General features: G+C 38.3%; 2 protein-coding genes across 2 annotated transcripts in view, besides 1 other annotated feature; one reads left to right on the top strand and one right to left on the bottom strand.

Moving 5' to 3' along the window:
- Positions 1-20,140, top strand: part of TRAPPC3L (trafficking protein particle complex subunit 3L) — a 50,696-nt gene that overhangs the window by 20,852 nt on the left and 9,704 nt on the right. The window lies entirely within an intron of this gene.
- CALHM5 (calcium homeostasis modulator family member 5) lies at positions 45-13,194 on the bottom strand. Its single transcript, NM_153711.5, has 2 exons — positions 12,597-13,194; positions 45-9,233 (listed from the first exon to the last, which is right to left on the bottom strand). Exons 1-2 carry the CDS (start codon positions 13,134-13,136, stop codon positions 8,844-8,846), a joined length of 930 nt encoding a protein of 309 aa, NP_714922.1. The 5' UTR covers positions 13,137-13,194; the 3' UTR covers positions 45-8,843.
- Positions 12,902-13,483: an enhancer, noted in NCBI's record as "OCT4-H3K27ac hESC enhancer chr6:116832513-116833094 (GRCh37/hg19 assembly coordinates)". NCBI's record gives its function as "activates a minimal SCP1, AML or CMV promoter by ChIP-STARR-seq in primed H9 embryonic stem cells {active_cell/tissue: H9 hESC(primed)}" and the evidence as "EXISTENCE:reporter gene assay evidence [ECO:0000049][PMID:30033119]".

Here is a 20,140-nt window from a genome sequence, read left to right as displayed (position 1 = left end):
AATATAGTTTCTTGAAAATGATATAGCACAGAAAGGAAAATAAGTTGAAAATTTTCCAACTTTTTTATTGAAATATAAGAAAATGATTCTCCACAATGAAAGAGTAAACTTGTAGCAGGAAAAATCGTTCCAAAAAGACCTACCTGAAGGCCTATTTAACATTTTTGGACATGAAAGATAAAGAAACCAATGAGAATATAGGATAAAACATCTTGTTAGTAATAAAGAAAGAAATAGAGATGGCATCAGAAATCAGGCTGTGGCCACCTCAGCAATATTCAATGACAAAAGACAATGAAGTAATGCTTACAATACACTCATGTAGAGAAAGTATGAACCAGACAAGCTGTCCTTCAATTCGAGAACAGGCCAACAGGCTGAATATGTAAGAATTCAGAGAATAGCATTCCTGTGAGCCTTTGCTGAGAATGATACTAGAAGGTAAACTCCAGCTAAGCAGGGGGTGATTGACAAAACTTCAGCAAAATAACTGAGGTGACCATGTCATTTATTTTGTTGTGTACCTTATGAAATTTTTCAAACATATACAAATGTAAAGAGAATAATGTAATGAATTCCGTGTACCTACCATCCAGCTTCAATAGTTTCCATATTTTGCCAATCTTATTTCATCTTTCAGCTTTCTCCCTAAACTCTTTTTTCTAGAGTATTTTAAAGAAACTTCTAGACATCATGGCAGTTCACACATAAATATTTAAATATACATCTCTAACTGAAGAACTTTTTAAAAAACATAAATCGGCACACCATTACCACACATAGCAAAATTAATAATTCTCTAAAAATCATCTAATATTCATTCATATTTTCCTAAATATCTCAAAGATATCTTGTTACAGTTGGTTGTTGGAAACAGGATACAAATAAGGTCTATATAGCATATCTGGTTATTAAGTCACTTATATCTCCTTTATTCTCCTTTCTTAATACTGTTAATCTGTGGGGAGACTGAGTCATCTGTAAAATGGAATGTTCTGTTAGATCTAGATGTACCTGGTTGTTTTTTTGTGGTGCTAATTGCCTTGTTTTTTGTTGCTTATGTTTCCTATAAACTAGCAGTAATGTCTAAATACTTGATTAGGTTTAGCTTCTTAGGAAACAATATTTCACATGTGATACTATGTACTTATTCTTGCCTTGCATCATAAGGCACGTAGCATCTGCTTTGATTTTTAGTGATGCTAATATAGATGAGTGGCTTCAAATTGCATAGGTCTGACCCCATTCTGCTTTCACCTAATAGTTTAGAATTCATTATTTATTGTCTAGATCCATTTTGTCATCAAAGGTTGCAAAATGTTTACTTTCAAATTCTGAAAAGCCCTACAAACAATAAAAGAATTAGTAGAGAGATAAAATTAATAAGCATAAGACAATAGCTTTTCACGTACTCAGACAACAATCACTTAGAAAGATATAGTGGAAAAAAGAAACCATTTACAACAGGAACAAAGAAAACACCTACAAATAGAGTTTACAAGAAACATGTAAAACTTATGTGAAGTAAACTTTAAAATATTCCTAAAGGACAAAATATATCCTTGAATGAATAGAAAGGTATCCTTGAATGAATGGAAAGGCACCCCAAAATCTTGGACGGGCTGATGACCGATTCAGTAGATCTGGAGTGCAGGCCAGGATTCTGAGTTTCTTACAGCCTGCCTTCCCCAGAATAGCCTGCTCTGTGCTGTAGAGCAGTTATTTTCAAGATGTAGTCCCTAGACCAGCAGCATCAGTATCACCTGAGAACCTGTTAGAAATGCAGATTATCTTGCCTCACCCCAGACCTACTGAATCAGACACCCTGGGGGTGGAGTTCAGCAATCCACATTTTAATAAGCCCTCCAGATGATTTTTATATGGACTAAAGTTTGAGAACCACTGCCTTAGTGTTATCAAATTTAGCTTGAACTGGAATCAGCTAGGATCACGTTAAACTGCAGGCTTGACTCAACAGGTTTTAGATACTGTCTGATTCTGCATTTCTAACAAGCTTCATCGTGATACTGATGTTGACAGTCTGAAGATAACATTTTGAGAGACGACTAGAAGAACAATCTCTTTCCAGCTTACTGAAGGCCAGCCTAGTCTGAAACCCTCACTTGCTATTTTTTCGTAGATATTAATGACAAATAATAGTTTAATGTGTTACTCCTCCCAATAATATGTTTGTATTCCTTTCAAACAAAAATTAACCAAAAATAATTGAAAGTGAATCTCCAGCTTTGGTGGAGAGATTTTAGAGACCTACTTATCAGCATCTATCAAATCATGCTGTAGATGCTATACTGCTAACTGGAACCTAAAGAAAAAGAAAACATGATTGAAGAAAATGCTCTCTATGCATAGGGAGAATGTATAAATGTATAAATACAATTTGCCTGTAATTTTTGTCTTTTTATAAATTCTGATTTTCATGTTAGTGTTCAGGTTCTGTCGCTTCATATTGCCCCAAAATTCAGTGGCTTAAAGCCACAAACATTTATTTAAGCTCATGATTTTTGGGGTCATGGAGTTGGATAGGACATGGCAAGGACTTCTCTACAAAGCCTGCAGCCTCCACTGGAGTGGGTCAAATGTTTGGAGATGGCTGCAATGATTTGATTAGGGCCATAGATCTGGGGCCTTTTATTCTCACTGTTGGTTGGACTTCCTGGTTCTTCTCCATGTCGTGTACACTGGGGCCTGAATGTTTAAAATGGCTCCTTCATTCACATGCCTGACCCCTAAGCTAGAATATCTGAGACAATTGGAGCCATTGGGATCTCTCTCTCTCTCTCTTTTTATCTCTCTCTCTCTCCTCCCACTGGCTAGCTTGGGCCTCTTCAGAGCTTGGTAGTCCCTGAGTAATTGCAGTTCTTACATAGTGGCTTTTACCAGACTGTTGAGCATTGCAACATTGTAAGAGACCAAGGCATAAACTGTGATACTGCTTAACAATCTACCTCATGTCTGCCATATTTTATTGGTTCATAAGGTCAGATTCAAAGTGAGGATAACACGACTACATCTGCCAGAAGGAGCCATTGAACCATATTTAATTTATCACATGTGCTGGTTAATTTTAGATGTCAACTTGATTGGATTAAGGGGTAGCCAGATAGTTATTAAAGCATTATTTCTGGGTATGTATGTAGGGGTGTTTCCAAAAAAGATTGGCATTTGAATCAGTGGACTGAGTAAGGAAAATCTGCCCTCACCTAACCTGGGCAGGCACCATACAATCCATTGAGGGCCTGGGTAGGACAAAAAGGGAGAGGATGGGCAAATTTGCTCTCTGTCTCTCTCTCTCTCCCTCTCTCTCCACTCGAGTTGGGTCACCAATCTTTTCTCTGTCTCCTGGAGTTGGGTCACCAATATTCTCCTTATCTATTGGCCCTTGGAAATAAAAACTTCAGGTTCCTTTGCCTTTGGCTCTGGGATTTGTACCATCAACTCCCCTGGTTCTCAGGCCCTCAGACTGGGACTTGAGCCACCCTACACATTTCCCTGATTCTCCAGCTTACAGGTGGCACGTCATGGGCCTTCTCAGCCTTCATAATCACATGAGCCAATTTCCACAATAAATCCTCTTTCATATATATATACACACACAATATATATAGCACATATATTTTGTTATATATTTGTCATGTTTTGTTATATATAATATATATTCCCACAAGAAATCCCCTTTCATATATGTAGCATATATATATATACACGCATACACACACACACATGCACACACATATATATGTATGTATGTATATATACTGTTGTACTGTTGGTTCTGTTTCTCTGGAGAACCCTGACTAACATACCACTGTTATGTTTATTAAAATGAGAGACCCAGGTACATCAAAGATACTCCAAAATTGCTTAGCTAGAACCAATTTAAATTCATAAAAAAAAAAATGCTCACTGTAAAACTTCTGAAAGTTCATCCCAGCCCAAGAAAACCCATGGTATATTGGCAAATACATCATATTAGGATGTCTCTTTTTTCCTGGAGAGCCAGTTTTTAAATTTTTATCATACTCTACTGTTTGAAATCCAGATAACATTTCCAATATTTCAACCTCACAGCCCCTCACCACCTTCACTGACTCCCCATATAAAATCAGTAGTTCTTCACCATGACTGCACATTATAATCACTTAGAAAGCTTTTAAAAGAAATCTCAATGTTCAGGCCCTAACCCAGAAAAGTTACATCAGGTTCTCAGGAAATGGGTCCAGACATTGTGATTGTCAAAGGCCCCCAGGTGATTCCAATTTGCAGCCAACATCGAGAGCTACTGACAAACACAGATAGATGCTTTCCATCCAACCTCTCATGCCAACCTCTTAGCTTTTTCTTAATGATTTTGGGATCTAAAATCAGAGAAGTCCAAGCACTACCCACAAAGGAAATTAATATCCTCTGGCTTGTACAACAGGGGATATTTAAAATAAGAGAGAAAAATGAGAGGGAAATATTAGAAAATTAAGATAATTACCTTAGAGAATTCGGAACCACCAAAGTCTAAATAGAATAATATAGTTAATAGTTGAAGTACTTGAAATATATCATGTGAGAAGCGGTAGCAGTTTTCTGCTACCCAGTGACTTCTGGATTGCTTTAACCAGTTTTTAGAGTAAATCAGTGGATCATCAGGCTTTGAAACAACTAATTTGAATCAATAATGTCATCGTTTTCTCATTAAATGTATACATTTTTAGTGATGCTTTAAAGGTCTCAAGTAGAAAACCATACAAAAATTTTAAAAGTTGCTTTGGACACATATATTTTACAATACATTACTTTAAGGTATAATGCATAGAATTATGTAGTGATTTGTCTGCCATGCCTTATTTTTGTAATCTTTGTTACATACCTTTTTTTCTCCCACTTTATATTTGATATGAATAAGCTGAATGTATCCTAAAGCTGAATTAAGTGGTTGAGCCTGAAAAAAGGAAGGAACTGCACAGGAAAAACAAAAGAATCATATATATATGTGTACACAATTTATTCATGGGATAAATTGGACAGAATCAGCATTTTGTGCCATGAAATTTTTCCTTGAGTATATTCCTTGTATGGGAAAGCATCACATTCTTTTCAAGAGCATTCTCCAATCCTTTTCTCTTATGTAATAGGGTAGTGGTGGTAGGGAGAAGACCAGATCTTCAGGGAAAATTAGAAGTATTAAAAGGGAGTCAGCCTGGGCTTGGGTTGGCTCTAGCCCAAGGACCCTTCCATATGCTTCAAGTCTAGACCTAGAAGAGACTGTTATGGCAAACATTAGTATGACCATTGGGTGCCCTCTCTAGATATTCAAATCCAGGGTGCCAATGTCCCAGTTCGGCAGTGTAACCTCCTCTGGAGGATCACCCTTGGGCCACTGGAGACTCCTCACCTGGAGTTTTCTGGGGAATGCTCTCTCTTGGCTGCAATGGAAGCCCCAGAGCACACTTGGGATCAGGAGAAATCTGACATTCCAGAGCCCCCCCATAGGTCAAGCTGAGGCTGAAGTCCCAGAATTTCCTCTGGGATTGATTGAGACTCCACTTGTAACTGCATTCTTTCTTGTGTTTATCCTGCTAATATGTTTCTCCTAAGAGGATTTCCTTTTAATAAATCATGTATACACAGCTCCCTGTGTCAGGCGCAGCCTCTAGGGAGCACATCCAAAGACAACTAATGGTCCACACATTTTAAAGTCTCTGCTATCAAAGCCAGTTCATCCTGCTGCCTCTAGATACCCATTCCCTCAAGATACTCAAGAGCAGACACCAATTTGCTCTCCCTATCTTACTCCACTGCCTCCAGGACTATTTGTGGGACAGATAAGTTTTCTTGGACTTGTTTTATTCCTGAGTAAAGGACTGTTAAGGAATTTAGGAGTCAGGATGAGAACCTGTTAAGTGGCTTCTTCCAGAGGAGGAGGATGAGCTCTTCTGCTACTTACTAAGCTGCAGCAACAAGTACCCAGGCTGCTGGCTTCTTGCCAGTCAGCTTGGGTTTTCTTGAATGAGGCAGTCATTGTCATGAGCGTAAGTTTTTTGAGTGCAGAAAGTCCCTGGACTTGAGGGTGGCAGGAATATCCCCCAGATATGACTCCTCAATCCTCAGCTCCTTACAGCTAACCTACTTCTGTAGAACTTCTGTTTCAGCCTCTCACACACTGCAAAAGAGGCATCGGCATCGGCCAGTTCCTATATGTCTTTTTCCAGCTCAGAAGACACTTAAGGGCAGACAAACTTTAAGTCAAGAAAGATTAAGAAGGAGAACTCTTTGCTGAATTTTCTCTCCCTTTATTCTGAAAACTCTACCCCCTCACATCCCTAATCCCTGTTCTGTCCCTGCCACATACACACACAGACGTCTGACCCTGCACCTCCAAGTTCCCAAAGATATTGTACGTAGAAAAAACAAACCTTTTTTTATTGACATTCACACTCAACACTGAACACTCCTTGCCACCAACTGTGTGGGTTTTCTCCCACACTGGCCAATTCTCCAATACCAACTGGATATCATACAATTCAATTCTGGCATTAATCGGCATTAAGTGCAGATCCCCAGCAGGTTAAGAGCTCAGTCCCATAAGATCTCCCCCAACTTCAGACACCAGTCACAAGCAGTAGGTTCCAAAGTTACTCACATCTTCTATCTGACGTGGCTACAAAGCAGAGGTTCCCATGATTTCCTTCTCAGATTTCACCATTTGCTAGAGTAGCTCACAGAACTCAGGAAAGGGCTTTATTTACTATCATCAGTCTATTATAAAATAATATAACTCAGAAACAGCCAGATGGAGGCACAGGAACAGGTTTGGGGGAAGGGGCACGGAGCTTCCACGGCCCCTTTGGGCTCACCACTCCTCATGTATTGAGCAATGCAGAAGCTCTCTGAACCTTGTCCTTTAGATTTTTATGGGAAGCTTTATTCTTAGGCATGATTGATTAAATCATTATCCATTTGTGATCGACTCAACCTTCAGCCCCTCTTCCTTCCCCAAGGTCTGGGAGTGGGGCTGAAAGTTCCAACCCTCTAAACACATGGTTGGTTCCCGTGGCAACCAGACCCTATTCTGAGGCCATTCAGAAGCCCCTAACTATCAGTCATCTCATTCGCGTACTACCAGACACATCACTTGGGAGGTCCCAAAGGTTTTAGGAGCTCTGCACCAGGAATAGGAAGAAAGACCAAATACATATTTCTTCTTGTAAATGACAATAACATAGATATGTTCTGGGTCCTATACTTGTAGGATTCAGTTTGCCATCATGTTTCATGTTAATAAGAAGTTAATATTCAGCTTTCTCAAACTAAGAGACATAGACTACCACTGTAAGGTATGAGCCACAGCACAAAACATAGTTCTTTTTTAAAGCACAATTCTTCTCAGAGATTTAAGGAGAATTTATGTACATATATACATACACATATATATGTACATACTAACATGGATATAGTACATTGTAGAATGCAAGATTTGCATTATTTCTGATAAATGTAAGACTGCAATGCAGTTTTATGCCAGTACTGCTTTGGACAGTGTCCCCAGACCTTTAGCCAAGGTCAATTTACCCTACTATAGTCTGAATGTTTGTGTCTCCCCCAATTTCATATGTTGAAATCTTAACCCCCAAGCTGATAGTACTAAGAAGCAGAGCCTTGAGAAGTAATTGGGTCATGAAGGTGGAGCCTCCAGGAATGGGATTAGTGCCTTATAAAAATGCTCAAGGGAGCTTATTTGCACTTTCCACCATGGAAGGACACTGAGAAGTCAGCAAGCAGTTTGCAACCTGGAAAATTGCTCTCACCAGAACCTGAGCATGCTGGCAGCCTGACCTCGGACTTCCCAGCCTCCAGAACTGTGAGAAATAAATTTCTATTTTGTATAAGCCACCTATCTATGATATTTTGTTATAGTAGCCCAAACGCACTAAGACATACCCACGGCCTAGTAAGCACTGTGCCTAAGGACCATAATACTTGTAAGGGCCCACTAAAATGTTTTTAATTTCTTTTAAAATCAGAAGAAAATACATAAACTTTTAGGTTGAAGAAAATGCTAATATATTCACCTTTTATCAATGCAGTTATAAATATATATTTCTGTGTGTGTGTATATATATATATATATATATATATATATATATATATATATATATATATTTGTTACTACTATTTTGAATGTAGGAAATGGTTCGCAAAGGCAAAAGTACATAAAGCCCACAAAAATTATGATGCAGCCCTGCTTCCAGGGGAGTATTTTCAGTATACAGTGAAAACATGTGAAAAACTTTCAATTTTAGGTATCATATTCTTGCAACTTGTGATTTTTGAGAACTGAGATCTTCAGATCCTGAGGGAATGAATTCCACAATTTCATACATCCTTAAAAGTGTAGATTTGTAGGACAGAGACTCCTGCTGATCACACTGCAGGAGCCACTGTGTAGGGCAACCTATGTTAAGAGTAACTTGCTCACTCACAAGCCATTGCTTCTGCCCCTAAATTCTGCAACCAATATTTACAGAGACTGATGAGCCCTCTCACATGAGTCTGTCTGTTGAATGATAAAATCTTAGATCTTGGAGCAACATTTAGGCCTACTGAGCCCCTCTCCACCAATGCAAGAGCACCTTTGTCACCCCTCAGCATCAATTTGAGCACATCCTGATGTTCCACTTGAGAGCTTCAAAGCAGTTTCCTTTGTGTTATTGTCTTGTAAACATACTCCAAATGTAAGAAAATACAGAGACACACAGGTTGCTGGTGATACGTTAGGAGGATCACAGAATGAGCATGCCACTCAACACCATGAGTCATTGATGGTGGATGAGCTACATATTGTGGGCAGTACCCACAAGGACCATTGTCGTCTCATCATCCTCAGGGCTAAGTTGCAGACCATTGTCCACCACTCTGTGGAGGGTGCTATAGTGTTGCTGGCTTTGGTGGAAAGAATGCAGCTCTGAAGCAGCCTCCCAGGCAGCAAACGTAGGCATGGGAAAAGGATCTGGCCTCTTGTTTTCAAAAAAACATTTCAGGTTCCTCTCGCTCAGCTTGTTGGCATAGTCCAGAAATGTATTTTCCAACTGCTCCTTCTCCTTTTGTGCATATGTCTTCCAAAAACTCAGCTGAAGGTAGCTAACTTTAGATCGGCAGCGAGCATAACATGTGGTGAGCAGAGAGAAGAAAGACGCTGAACAAATCAGGCACCATCCTAGAATCTTAAGAAGAAAGAAATATTGAGTACACACGTGAAAGCAAAGCCATTTAGGGAGCTGGGGTATTATTGAGAAGTGTATAGCTAAATTATTACCACAGTCTTTGACATACCTCATTTGAAATCATTCATCTTAATTTTTAAACACTTTAAACTCACTTTTTGAATTTATTAGGTAAACTCAAAATAAAGTTAGGGTTTACCTAATCTCTATTCTCCTCCCCAACATTGCTGGTGCAAAGAAATAACCAGAAGGCAGGCAGATAGAAAAGAGTACAAAGTATAGATTACATAAGACTTACAGAAATCAAGCTCAAATAGTATTAGCTCTGATAGGAAAATATTCTGTGCATAAGTAAATGTGGTCATTTGAGTAAATGACCAGCTCTTCAGCCAGGCATTTTTAGGCATTGATAAATGTATATACATGGCTAGAGACTAATTTTTTTCTGTCATTACTTACTGTCCATGGAAAAGGGAGACAGACGATACAATCAGGAAGCTGAAGCTATAAGAATTTAAAGGCTGAGAAAAAATTAGGATCATTAAAACCTTGAAAATGATTTGTCTTGATTTTTGGTAATTAGAAAAAACAAACTCTTTCCTGAATATGAAATGGTTCAGCTTTTCTCCCCTGGATCTTAAAAGCAGAAGTTTAAATAGCTTAAATTATCTTCTAACTTTTTTGGCTCTAACTCTGTTTTCACAATTGAAATTAATTTTATGTTTGGAAAACTAACATCTTTTTCAAAGTGTCTCTTGACATTTAGTTTAAATGATCCTTAATATTCTTTAGCAGATGAGCCTATTTGAAAATAGAAATAATAATCTACAAATGAACCCATTCAGACCATAACAAAACCACAAATAAGCTTTAAATCAGTGGTTCCCAACCTTTGACTCAGATATAGAGTGTTTGTGAAGGGTCTCAACCTCTGCACCAATGCCAACTCTGGACTGGCACTACTCAGGTTTAAATCTAAACTTTCCCCTTACTATGCGTATTCTTTTTATCTCAGTTTCTTCACTTGTGAAACGAGGGTTACTCACCTTGAAGGGTAATTTGATGGACCTAATGAAATGATACTGGACACATGTATTCATTAAGTTTTAGCTAATATTATATGCTGCTATTCTTCAAATATATATACACTTATGTAAATGTGTTACTGAACTCATAATATCTTTCTGTACTTATAATTAATGAGTGAGGCACAACTACCATCAAGTGAAAGTCCCTGAATGGATTGTGGTTGGCTACCTTATATGTTCCTCCTTCCTTCATCGTCTGTCTTCCTCTTTTTCCACAGCTGAGGCTTCTGTACGCCATCTCATCTCAGTACCTGAGCCAGTTCCAGCTGAATTATAAACTATTCCATCAGCTTCAGGTCCCCTTCCCCCTTTCACATGACGTTTGCATTGACCGATGCTTTCCCTCAATTCACAGTACCCAGAGTCAAACTAGAGCTTGGTGGATGCTTCCATACCAGCCCTCAAAAGTGTCTTATTTTGCATATGTCCTCCCCCAAACCATGGCAGTTTTCCTCATTGACTTGGAACAAATACTGTGTACCAGAAGCTTTATGCCCATTTGTATCTATCATCTCTAAATCTTCCGACAACTCTCCAAAGTAAGTGATATTACCACTAACTATGAGAAAACTGGGACTCAAAGAGGTCGAACCACTAGTTCTAGGTCACATAGCTGGTGATTGGTAGCATCAGCATACAAACCCAACGCCAGACAATTCCAAGACTGAGCTCTTTCCACTACTCCATTCTATCTTCCTTAAGAATAGAGAGTCATCCAGCTAGATTTTTTATCTGCCCCACCCATGGATGAATGTTCTTTTCCGCCTCCAGGCACATGTACACCTATTGTTGGTCTGGACTATATGCTGCCTCCTGCCTATCTGAACCTCTGTAGTCAGCACCTGCTATTGATACAAGTTCTCTTGCCCACATTCCTTATGCATCTTCCCACAGGAATCAGCCCCAGGTCCTTCTCATTCTGATGAAGAATCAGCAGGTCAGTGTGCTCAGCCTAAGCTATGACATGATGTGCAAGATTTCCTTGTACCTGTGTTTAGAGAGGAGAAGCTCACACAATGATAAGTGTTTGGGCCTGCCACTGACTGAATGGAGCCTGGTGACTGAGGACATACACCATAAATCAATCATTCTGTCATAAGAGTTGTAAGTTATACCCTTCTTCAATAAAAGACACAAGACATTTGGGAGCCTGATATGTTTTATCTAAGATGTGCTTTATGCATTAAAGAAAAGATTTTGTTTTGGAGTATTTTTTGACTTATCAATTTATGAAGAGTATGACTTTACTGCCAACCAGCTTTGGAGTGTATGATTTTAAAAACAGATTTTGCCTTGATTTGTTGTTACCAAGGCAAATCCTTGTCGAAAAAGTAAAATAATGCTATTTCTGTGCCTTTATTCTGAAACAGATAGCATTCCTGACAATTTGTGGATCTGCTTATCAACTCTTACCACTTGTTTTGCTTTTGGGAATGCAATTCTTACTACCTATAAATGGGAAGTTAGTCCTTCCTAAGGCTGTACATCTGGATTTGTGTTCATGTGCCTGGAGGAATGACAGGCTACTTCCCTGCATCAATTAGGTAAAGATATGATTTCCTTCTGTTAAATAAAACAATGCCCAAATCTTGAGCTTCTGAAGTAATTAAGAACCCCTTTAGCTGTACAGCACAAAGAGTATAAAACATAATCTCCCTAGAGAGTACAGTCACTTTTTCACAGAAGGCTATTTAAAAACTGCTGATTCCTACCATACAAGGAAAATTCTTCTCAATCTTGACAATATTTATACACAGAGATAGCAGTTGCCAGAAATCATTCAAGAGAATCTCCACACTAATTATATTACATGCAACTTTGAAAAGTAATAACTCATTTCATTCAGCTACATTTTAATAGATGAATAATACATGTGTGTGTTTGAGAAAACAACTTGAATGTAAATAATTGATAGAAGGCAGTAATTTCTAATTACAGCTCTGCCATTAACACTCAATTTATGATTTAGTGTTAGGCATTATTTATTTACAGACCCAGAGAGACTGTTTTAAAGTACTTAAGTATTTATATGTGGACAATCCAGTGGATATTTTCTTTTCAGAACCGGAAAAGAGATAATCCAGTCAGCAACTTTATTGAGCCACCCAGCCTTTCAAAAGCTTTTCCTGAGATAGTCTCAATGCTGCATCATGTTTCAGTTTCCATTTAGTTTCAAAATATTCTGACAGGACACAGACAGCCCTGGCTGAAAGGAGCACAGAGAGAATACTTCGAGCTCATGCTGAGAGAAAAAGGCGAGTTTGTCTTTTCTTACCTGAGACTGGGCCTGAAGGGAGAGTTTCAGTTCTTCATTGACGGTAGGTAGCATGCTAGTTTTGCCACAAGATACTTTGTGAAGTTCTTCCCAGCACTCTTTGGGCTTACCCTTGCAAATCAGTTCCAGGAGTCCTGAACTTCTCGTCCCGCTCATGGCACATTCATAGAAAGTTCCATTGAGCAGAGCCACAGAAAGCCACATCACTGGAGCCACCAATGAGCTCAGAGTGATCTGGCCGAGGACGTAGAAGAAACGGCAGCTGTGGCCTCTGGGAAAGATTTTCCTGGGATTCACACAGCAGCCTGTGAAGAGTCTCCACGACCTATTGTTCAGAAAGAATCCCAGGATCAGTAACACCCAGGCAGGAGCAAAGAGGAAAACCAGCCCATAGGTCATATTCTCAGTGCTGCAGGGGCACTTAAAAGCCACAACAGAAAAGAGACGCTCACTTCCCACGGTCAGCAGAGCCATGAAGCTGTAGCCAATAACAGTTTTCTGATTAAGGAAGAATTTTAAAATGCCCTGAAAAGCATCCATGTTGGAGATGCACAGAGGGAAAATGCTGTGCCTTTGTTATTGGCAGAGCAGCTGTGGCAGTGGCCGAGGGTGGAGCTCTTTCTTCATCAGAAACAACAGTCCTTCTCAGACTGAATTGAGCCAGATAAGGAAACAATGTCATTCCTTAGGAATGAATATTTCTCAACATGTTTAGATAATGCCTCCTACTGGTGGAAATTGGGCTGTGATACTGCAGCCTAAATGCTGAGAATAAATTCAAAGTGCACGGGCTCCATTTTAACCTTCTTTCCATGTGGTTTGGATTGAAAATCAGAAAAGAAATTCTCACTCATACAAATAATAGTCTAGGAATTTTCCAGTGTAAGGAATCAACATTAACAGAAAGAGGTTTCAGCCGACAAATCAAATCTCCAAACCTAGAATTTTATGAATGTTTTTCTCTTCCTATGACTTGAGATTTGGAAGACAGGGATTTGCTGTCTTTTTTCATATATATAAAAACATATGAAAATTATATATATATATATATATCAATAGCTTTTGGAGCACAAGTGGGTTTTGGTTACATGGATGAAATATACATATAAATATACATATATATATATATACATATATATATGAGATTTTAGTGCACCCATCACCGGATATGTATGTGTACCCAATATGTATTTTTTTATCCCTCACCCCCTTCCCACTCTCCCTCTTTCTGAGTCTCCAAAGTCCATTATACCACTCCATATGCCTTTACGTACCCATAGCTTAATTTCCACTTATAAGTGAGAACTACAGTTTTTGGTTTTCTATTTCCGAGTTACTTCGCTTGGAATAACGCCTCTAGCTCCATCAAGTTGCTGCAAAAGACATTATTTCATTCTTTTTTATGACTGAGTAGTATTCCATGGTATATATACACCACAGTTTCTTTATCTATTCATCAGTTGATGGGTACTTAGATTGGTTTCATATCTTTGCAATTGTGAATTGTGTTGCAATAAATATACATGTGCAGGTGTTTTTTTTTAATATATAATGACTTCTTTTTCTTTGGATAGATACCCAGTAGTGGGATTGCTGGACTGAATAGTAGATCTACTTTTAGTACTTAAAGTTCTTTCTTTAAGAATGAAAGAAAGGTGCCGTGGTTCATGTCTGTAATCCTAGCATTTTGGGAGGTCGAGGCAGGTGGATTGCTTGAGCCAAGGAGTACGAGACCAGCCTAGGCAACATGGTGAATCTCCCTCTCTACAAAAAAATACCAAAAAAAAATTAGCCAGGCTCGGTGGCATGCACCTGTAGTCCCAGCTACTCAGGAGGCAGAGATGGGAGGATCGCTTGAGCCCAGGAGGCTGAGGTTGTGGTGAGCCAAATCATGCCACTGCATTCCAGTCTGGGTGACAGAGCAAGACCCTGTCTCATAAATAAATACATAGAAGGAAAGAAAGAAATCTCCATACTGTTTTTTATAGAGGTTGTACTAATTTACATTCCTACCAGCATTCTACAAGCATTCTGTTTTCACAAAATTCATACCAATATCTATTGTTATTGCCTTTTTAGTAATAGCCATTATTACTGGAATAAGGTGGTATCTCATTGTGGTTTTAGTTTACATTTCCCTAATGATTAGTATGTTGAGCATTTTTTCATATGTTTGTTGTCCATTTGTATATCTTCTTTTGAGAAATGTCTATTGATGTCATTTGCTCACTTTTTGATGGGATTATTTGTTTTCTTCTTGCTGATTTGTTTGAGTTCCTTATAGATACTGGATATTAGTCCTTTGTCAGATGCATAGTTTACAAATATCTTCTCCCATTTTGTGGGTTGCCTGTTTACTCTGATGTTTATTTCTTTTGCTGTGCAGAAGCTTTTTAGTTTAATTAGGTCCCATTTATTTATTTTTGGTTTTGTTGCATTTGCTTTTTGGGTCTTAGTCATAAATTCCTTGCCTAGGCCAATGTCCAGAAGAGTTTTTATTACGTTTTCTTCTAGAAATTTTATGGTTTCACATCTTAGATATAAGCGTTTGATCCATCTTGAGTTTATTTTTGTATATGGTGAGTGACAGGGATCCAGTTTCATTCCTGTACATGTTGCTATCCTGTTTTCCAAGCACCTTTTAATGGATACAGTGTCCTTTCCCCAGTTTATGTTTTTGTATGCTTTGTCAAAGATCAATTGGTTCTGAGTTCTCTATTCTGTTCCATTGGTCTATGTATCTACTTTTGTACCAGTGCTATGCTGTTTTGATAACTATACCTTTGTAGTATAATTTGAAGTCAGGTAATGTGATGCCTCCAGATTTATTCTTTTTACTTAGTATTGCTTTGGCTGTTGGGGCTCTTTTTTTGGTTCCATATAAATTTTAGGATTGTTTTTTCTAATTCTGTGAAAAATTATGTTGGTATTTTGATAGGAATTGCACTGAATCTGTAGATTGCTTTGGGAAGTATGGTTATTTTCACAATATTGATTCTTCCAATCCAGGAGCATGGCATATATTTCCCTGTGTTTGTGTCATCTATGACTTCTTTCAGCTGCATTTTATAGTTCTCCTTATAGAGATCTTCCACCTCTTCGATTAAGTATATTCATCGGTGGGTTTTTTTTTTTTTTTTTTTTTACAACTCTTATAAAAGGGATTGAGTTCTTGATTTGGCTCTCAGCTTGGTTGTTGTTGGTGTATAGCAGGGCTACTGATTTGGGTACATTAGTTTTGTAAACTAAGACTTTACTAAATTCATTTATCAAATCTAGTAGTCTTTTGGAGGAGTCTTTAGGTTTTTCTAGATATATGATTATCCTGACAAATGGAGATAGTTTGACTTCCTCTTTTCTAATTTGGATGCCCTTTATTTCTTTCTCTTGCCTGATTGCTATGGATGGGATTTCTATTAATAGCACTGTGTTGAATAGAAGTGGTGAAAGTAGGCATCCCTGTCTTGTTCCACTTCTTAGGGGAAATGCCTTCAACTTTCCCCCTTTCATTTTTTATCTTCCTAAACTGGCTAGTGTTAGAGATCAAATTTTAGGATTTGGGATATGTGCATTTTACATGGGAAAGTTTAGGGAGAGTTTGAGTTTTGAAGGAAAGTCAAAATGAGAAGAGTCCTCATCATTTCTTTCCTAGGCTTACTATAATAGTAACCTTTTGATTAGTATCTCAGCCCTTGACCTCATGCTCACTCCCATCCATAACCCTAAATCCATTCTCTATGCTGACAAGAAAAGGATCCTTCTAAAACTGAAATTGAATTCTGCATTAGCCAGTTCACACCTTTGGGGCTCACAACTGCTCACAAGTTGATAGATGTAGAGATTCCCTGAACCCCATCATGGTATTTTATGCTCATGACATGTTCCCACTACCTAGAATGTCTTTGTCACTTACCTCCAGACCCCTAGTCTTGTCTACCTGGCAAACATTCAGTCAATAGATGCCCATTCTATAATTTGTCTTGCAAATGGCTATTGAACTCCCACTGTGTGCCAGGTACTGTGCCAGACTGGCAGTGCTCAAGAAATTTCTGTTGAATAAATGAAGAATGAATAAGGAATCTCCTAGTCCTTCTGATTATAAGTAATTTAAGAAAATTGCTTCCATTTCTCTCCTACACAGCTCTTAATTTTAAAAATTAATTAATTTCTGCACTTGAAAGATGGCAACATATCAAGCTGACAAAATTTCATTAATAAACTTCAAAGTCCAGGCCTGTGTATTTTGTGAAAAGAAATTGCCTTGGACTAGGAGCCAAGGAATTAAGTTATAGCATGGTCTTGGCAGTGTCATTTGACTTCTCTGAACACCAGTTTACTTATTTTTGAAACTAAGGCCTTAAAAGACACAGTCTGCAAGATTTCTTCCATTTCCACATTGTAAAATTCTTCAAGCACTGTAAAACAGCAGATGTTTTTGCGAAGTTACTTTATAATTCATTTATGCGCCTCCCACCACTACCACTTGTTCCTTAGAGACTTGTCTTTGATAGTAGTGTAGTCCCCTGTTACCCACAGGGGATACCTGCAACCAAGACCCACAGGGGATACCTGCAACCAAGACCCCCAAACTGCAGACAGTACCAAACCCGTATATATTATGTTTTTTTTAAATCTGCCAACTGAGGCAGTTAACAAGTGACCCATGGGCAGGTCATAGCATAAACAGTGTGTAATACACTGAACAAAGGGATGATTCACGTTCTGGGCAGTATGGAGTACGGACAGTGAGAGGTTTCATCACACTGCTCAGAAGCACAATTTTAAACTTATGAATTATATACTTCTAGAATTTTCTATCTAACATTTTCAAATTATCTTGACCACAGGTAACTGAGACCACAGATAATGGCCAGCTACTCCAAAATTTTTCCCTTCACTTCCCAAAATGTATTCTTGGGTCTAATCTGCCCCTAGCATCCTCTGCTTTGACTGTCACCACACTGTTGTGGCAAATGTGTCCTGGGTCCCTTCTAGTCCAGGGTTTTATACTTTGCTAGTATCAGTGTGACAAATATCAGCTGATATGTTGATGATTAATAATATTTTAATTTCTTACTCCCCTAAAGGATATATATCTTTTAAAAAGATTTTGAAAATAATGATTTAATTTTTTACAAACCATATTATCTCCACAGAAAATTATCCTCTTACAATATTCTATACATTAAAAATAGTATTTATTTTTATTTACTTATTTATTTATTTTTATACTTTAAGTTCTAGGGTACATGTGCACAACGTGCAGGTTTGTTACATAGGTATACATGTGCCATGATGGTTTGGTGCACCAATCACCTCGACATTTACATTAGGTATTTCTCCTAAAGCTATCCCTCCCCCAGCCCCCCAGCCTGACAGGTCCCGGTGTGTGATGCTCCCCTACCTGTGTCCATGTGTTCTCATTGTTCAACTCCCACTTAGGAGTGAGAACGTACAGTGTTTGGTTCTCTGTCCTTATGATATCTTGTTGAGAATGACGGTTTCCAGCTTCATCCATGTCCCTGCAAATGACATGAACTCTTCCTTTTTTATGGCTGCATGGTATTCCCTGGTGTATATGTGCCACATTTTCTTTATCCAGTCTATCATTGATGGACGTTTGGGTTGGTTCCAAGTCTTTGCTATTGTGAATAGTGCCATAATAAACATACATGTGCATGTGTCTTTATAGTAGCATGATTTATAATCCTTTGCATATATACCCAGTAATGGGATCGCTGGGTCAAATGGTATTTCTAGTTCTAGATCATTGAGGAATTGCCACACTGTCTTCCAAAATTGTTGAACTAATTTACACTCCCACCAACAGTGTAAAAGTGTTCCTACTTCTCCACATCCTCTCCAGCATCTGTTGTTTCCTGACTTTTTGATGATCGCCATTCTAACTGGCAAGAGATGGTATTTCATTGTGGTTTTGATTTGCATTTCTCTGATGAACAGTGATGATGGGCATTTTTTCATGTCTGTTGGCTGCATAAATGTCTTTTTTTGACAAGTGTCTGTTCATATCCTTTGCCCACTTTTTGATGGGGTTGTTTTTTCCTTGTACATTTGTTTAAGTTCTTTGTAGACTCTGGATATTAACCCTTTGCCAGATGGGTAGATTGCAAAAATTTTCTCCCATTCTGTAGGTTGCCTGCTCAGTCTGATGATAGTTGCTTTTGCTGTGTTAGAAGCTCTTTAGTTTAATTAGATCCCGTTTGTTTATTTTGGCTTTTGTTGCCGTTGCTTTTGGTGTTTTAGTCATGAAGTCTTTGCCCATGCCTATGTCCTGAATGGTATTGCCTAGGTTTTCTTCTAGGATTTTCATGGTTTTAGGTTTTACATTTAAGTCTTTAATCCATCTTGAGTTAGTTTTTGTATAAGGTGTAAGGAAGGGATCCAGTTTCAGCTTTCTACATATGGCTAGCCAGTTTTCCCAACACATTTATTAAACAGGGAATCCTTTCCCTATTTCTTGTTTTTGTCAGGTTTGTCAAAGATCAGATGGTTGTAGAGGTGTGGTGTTATTTCTGAGGCCTCTGTTCTGTTCCATTGGTCTATATATCTGTTTTGGTACCAGTACCATGCTGTTTTGGTTACTGTAACCTTGTAGTATAGTTTGAAGTCAGGTAGCGTGATGCCTCCAGCTTTGTTCTTTTTGCTTAGGATTGTCTTGGCAATGCGGGCTCTTTTTTGGTTCCATATGAACTTTAGAGGAGTTTTTTCCAATTCTGTGAAGAAAGTCATTGGTAGCTTGATGGGGATGGCGTTGAATCTATAAATTACCTTGGGCAGTATGGCCATTTTCACGATATTGATTCTTTCTATCCATGAGCATGGAATGTTTTTCCTTTTGTTTGTGTCCTCTCTTATTTACTTGAGAAGTGGTTTGTAATTCTCCTTGAAGAGGTCCTTCACATCCCTTGTAAGATGGATTCCTAGGTATTTTATTCACTTTGTAGGATTTGTGAATGGGAGTTCACTCATGATTTGGCTCTCTGTTTGTCTGTTATTGGTGTGTAAGAATGCTTGTGATTTTTGCACATTGATTTTGTATGCTGAGACTTTGTTGAAGTTGCTTATCAGCTTAAGGAGATTTTGGGCTGAGACAATGGGGTTTTCTAAATATACAATCATGTCATCTGCAAACAGAGACAATTTGACTTCCTCTTTTCCTAATTGAATACTCTTTATTTCTTTCTCTTGCCTGATTGCCCTGGCCAGAACTTCCAATACTATGTTGAATAGGAGTGGTGAGAGAGGGCATCCTTGTCTTGTGCCGGTTTTCAAAGGGAATGCTTCCAGTTTTTGCCCATTCAATATGATATTGGCTGTGGGTTTGTCCTAAATAGCTCTTATTATTTTGAGATACATTCCATCAATACCTAGTTTATAGAGAGTTTTTAGCATGAAGGGCTGTTGAATTTTGTTGAAGGCCTTTTCTGCATCTATTGAGATAATCATGTGGCTTTTGTCTTTGGTTCTGTTTATGTGATGGATTGCATATGTTTAACCAGCCTTGCATCCCAGGGATGAAGCTG

The sequence above is a fragment of the Homo sapiens genome, chromosome 6 (genome assembly GCF_000001405.40).
Source record: "Homo sapiens chromosome 6, GRCh38.p14 Primary Assembly".
In the NCBI taxonomy this organism is placed as follows: Eukaryota; Metazoa; Chordata; class Mammalia; order Primates; family Hominidae; genus Homo; species Homo sapiens.
The sequence above is the reverse complement of the archived record's forward strand: the minus strand, read 5'-3'. Positions and strand labels throughout refer to the sequence as shown.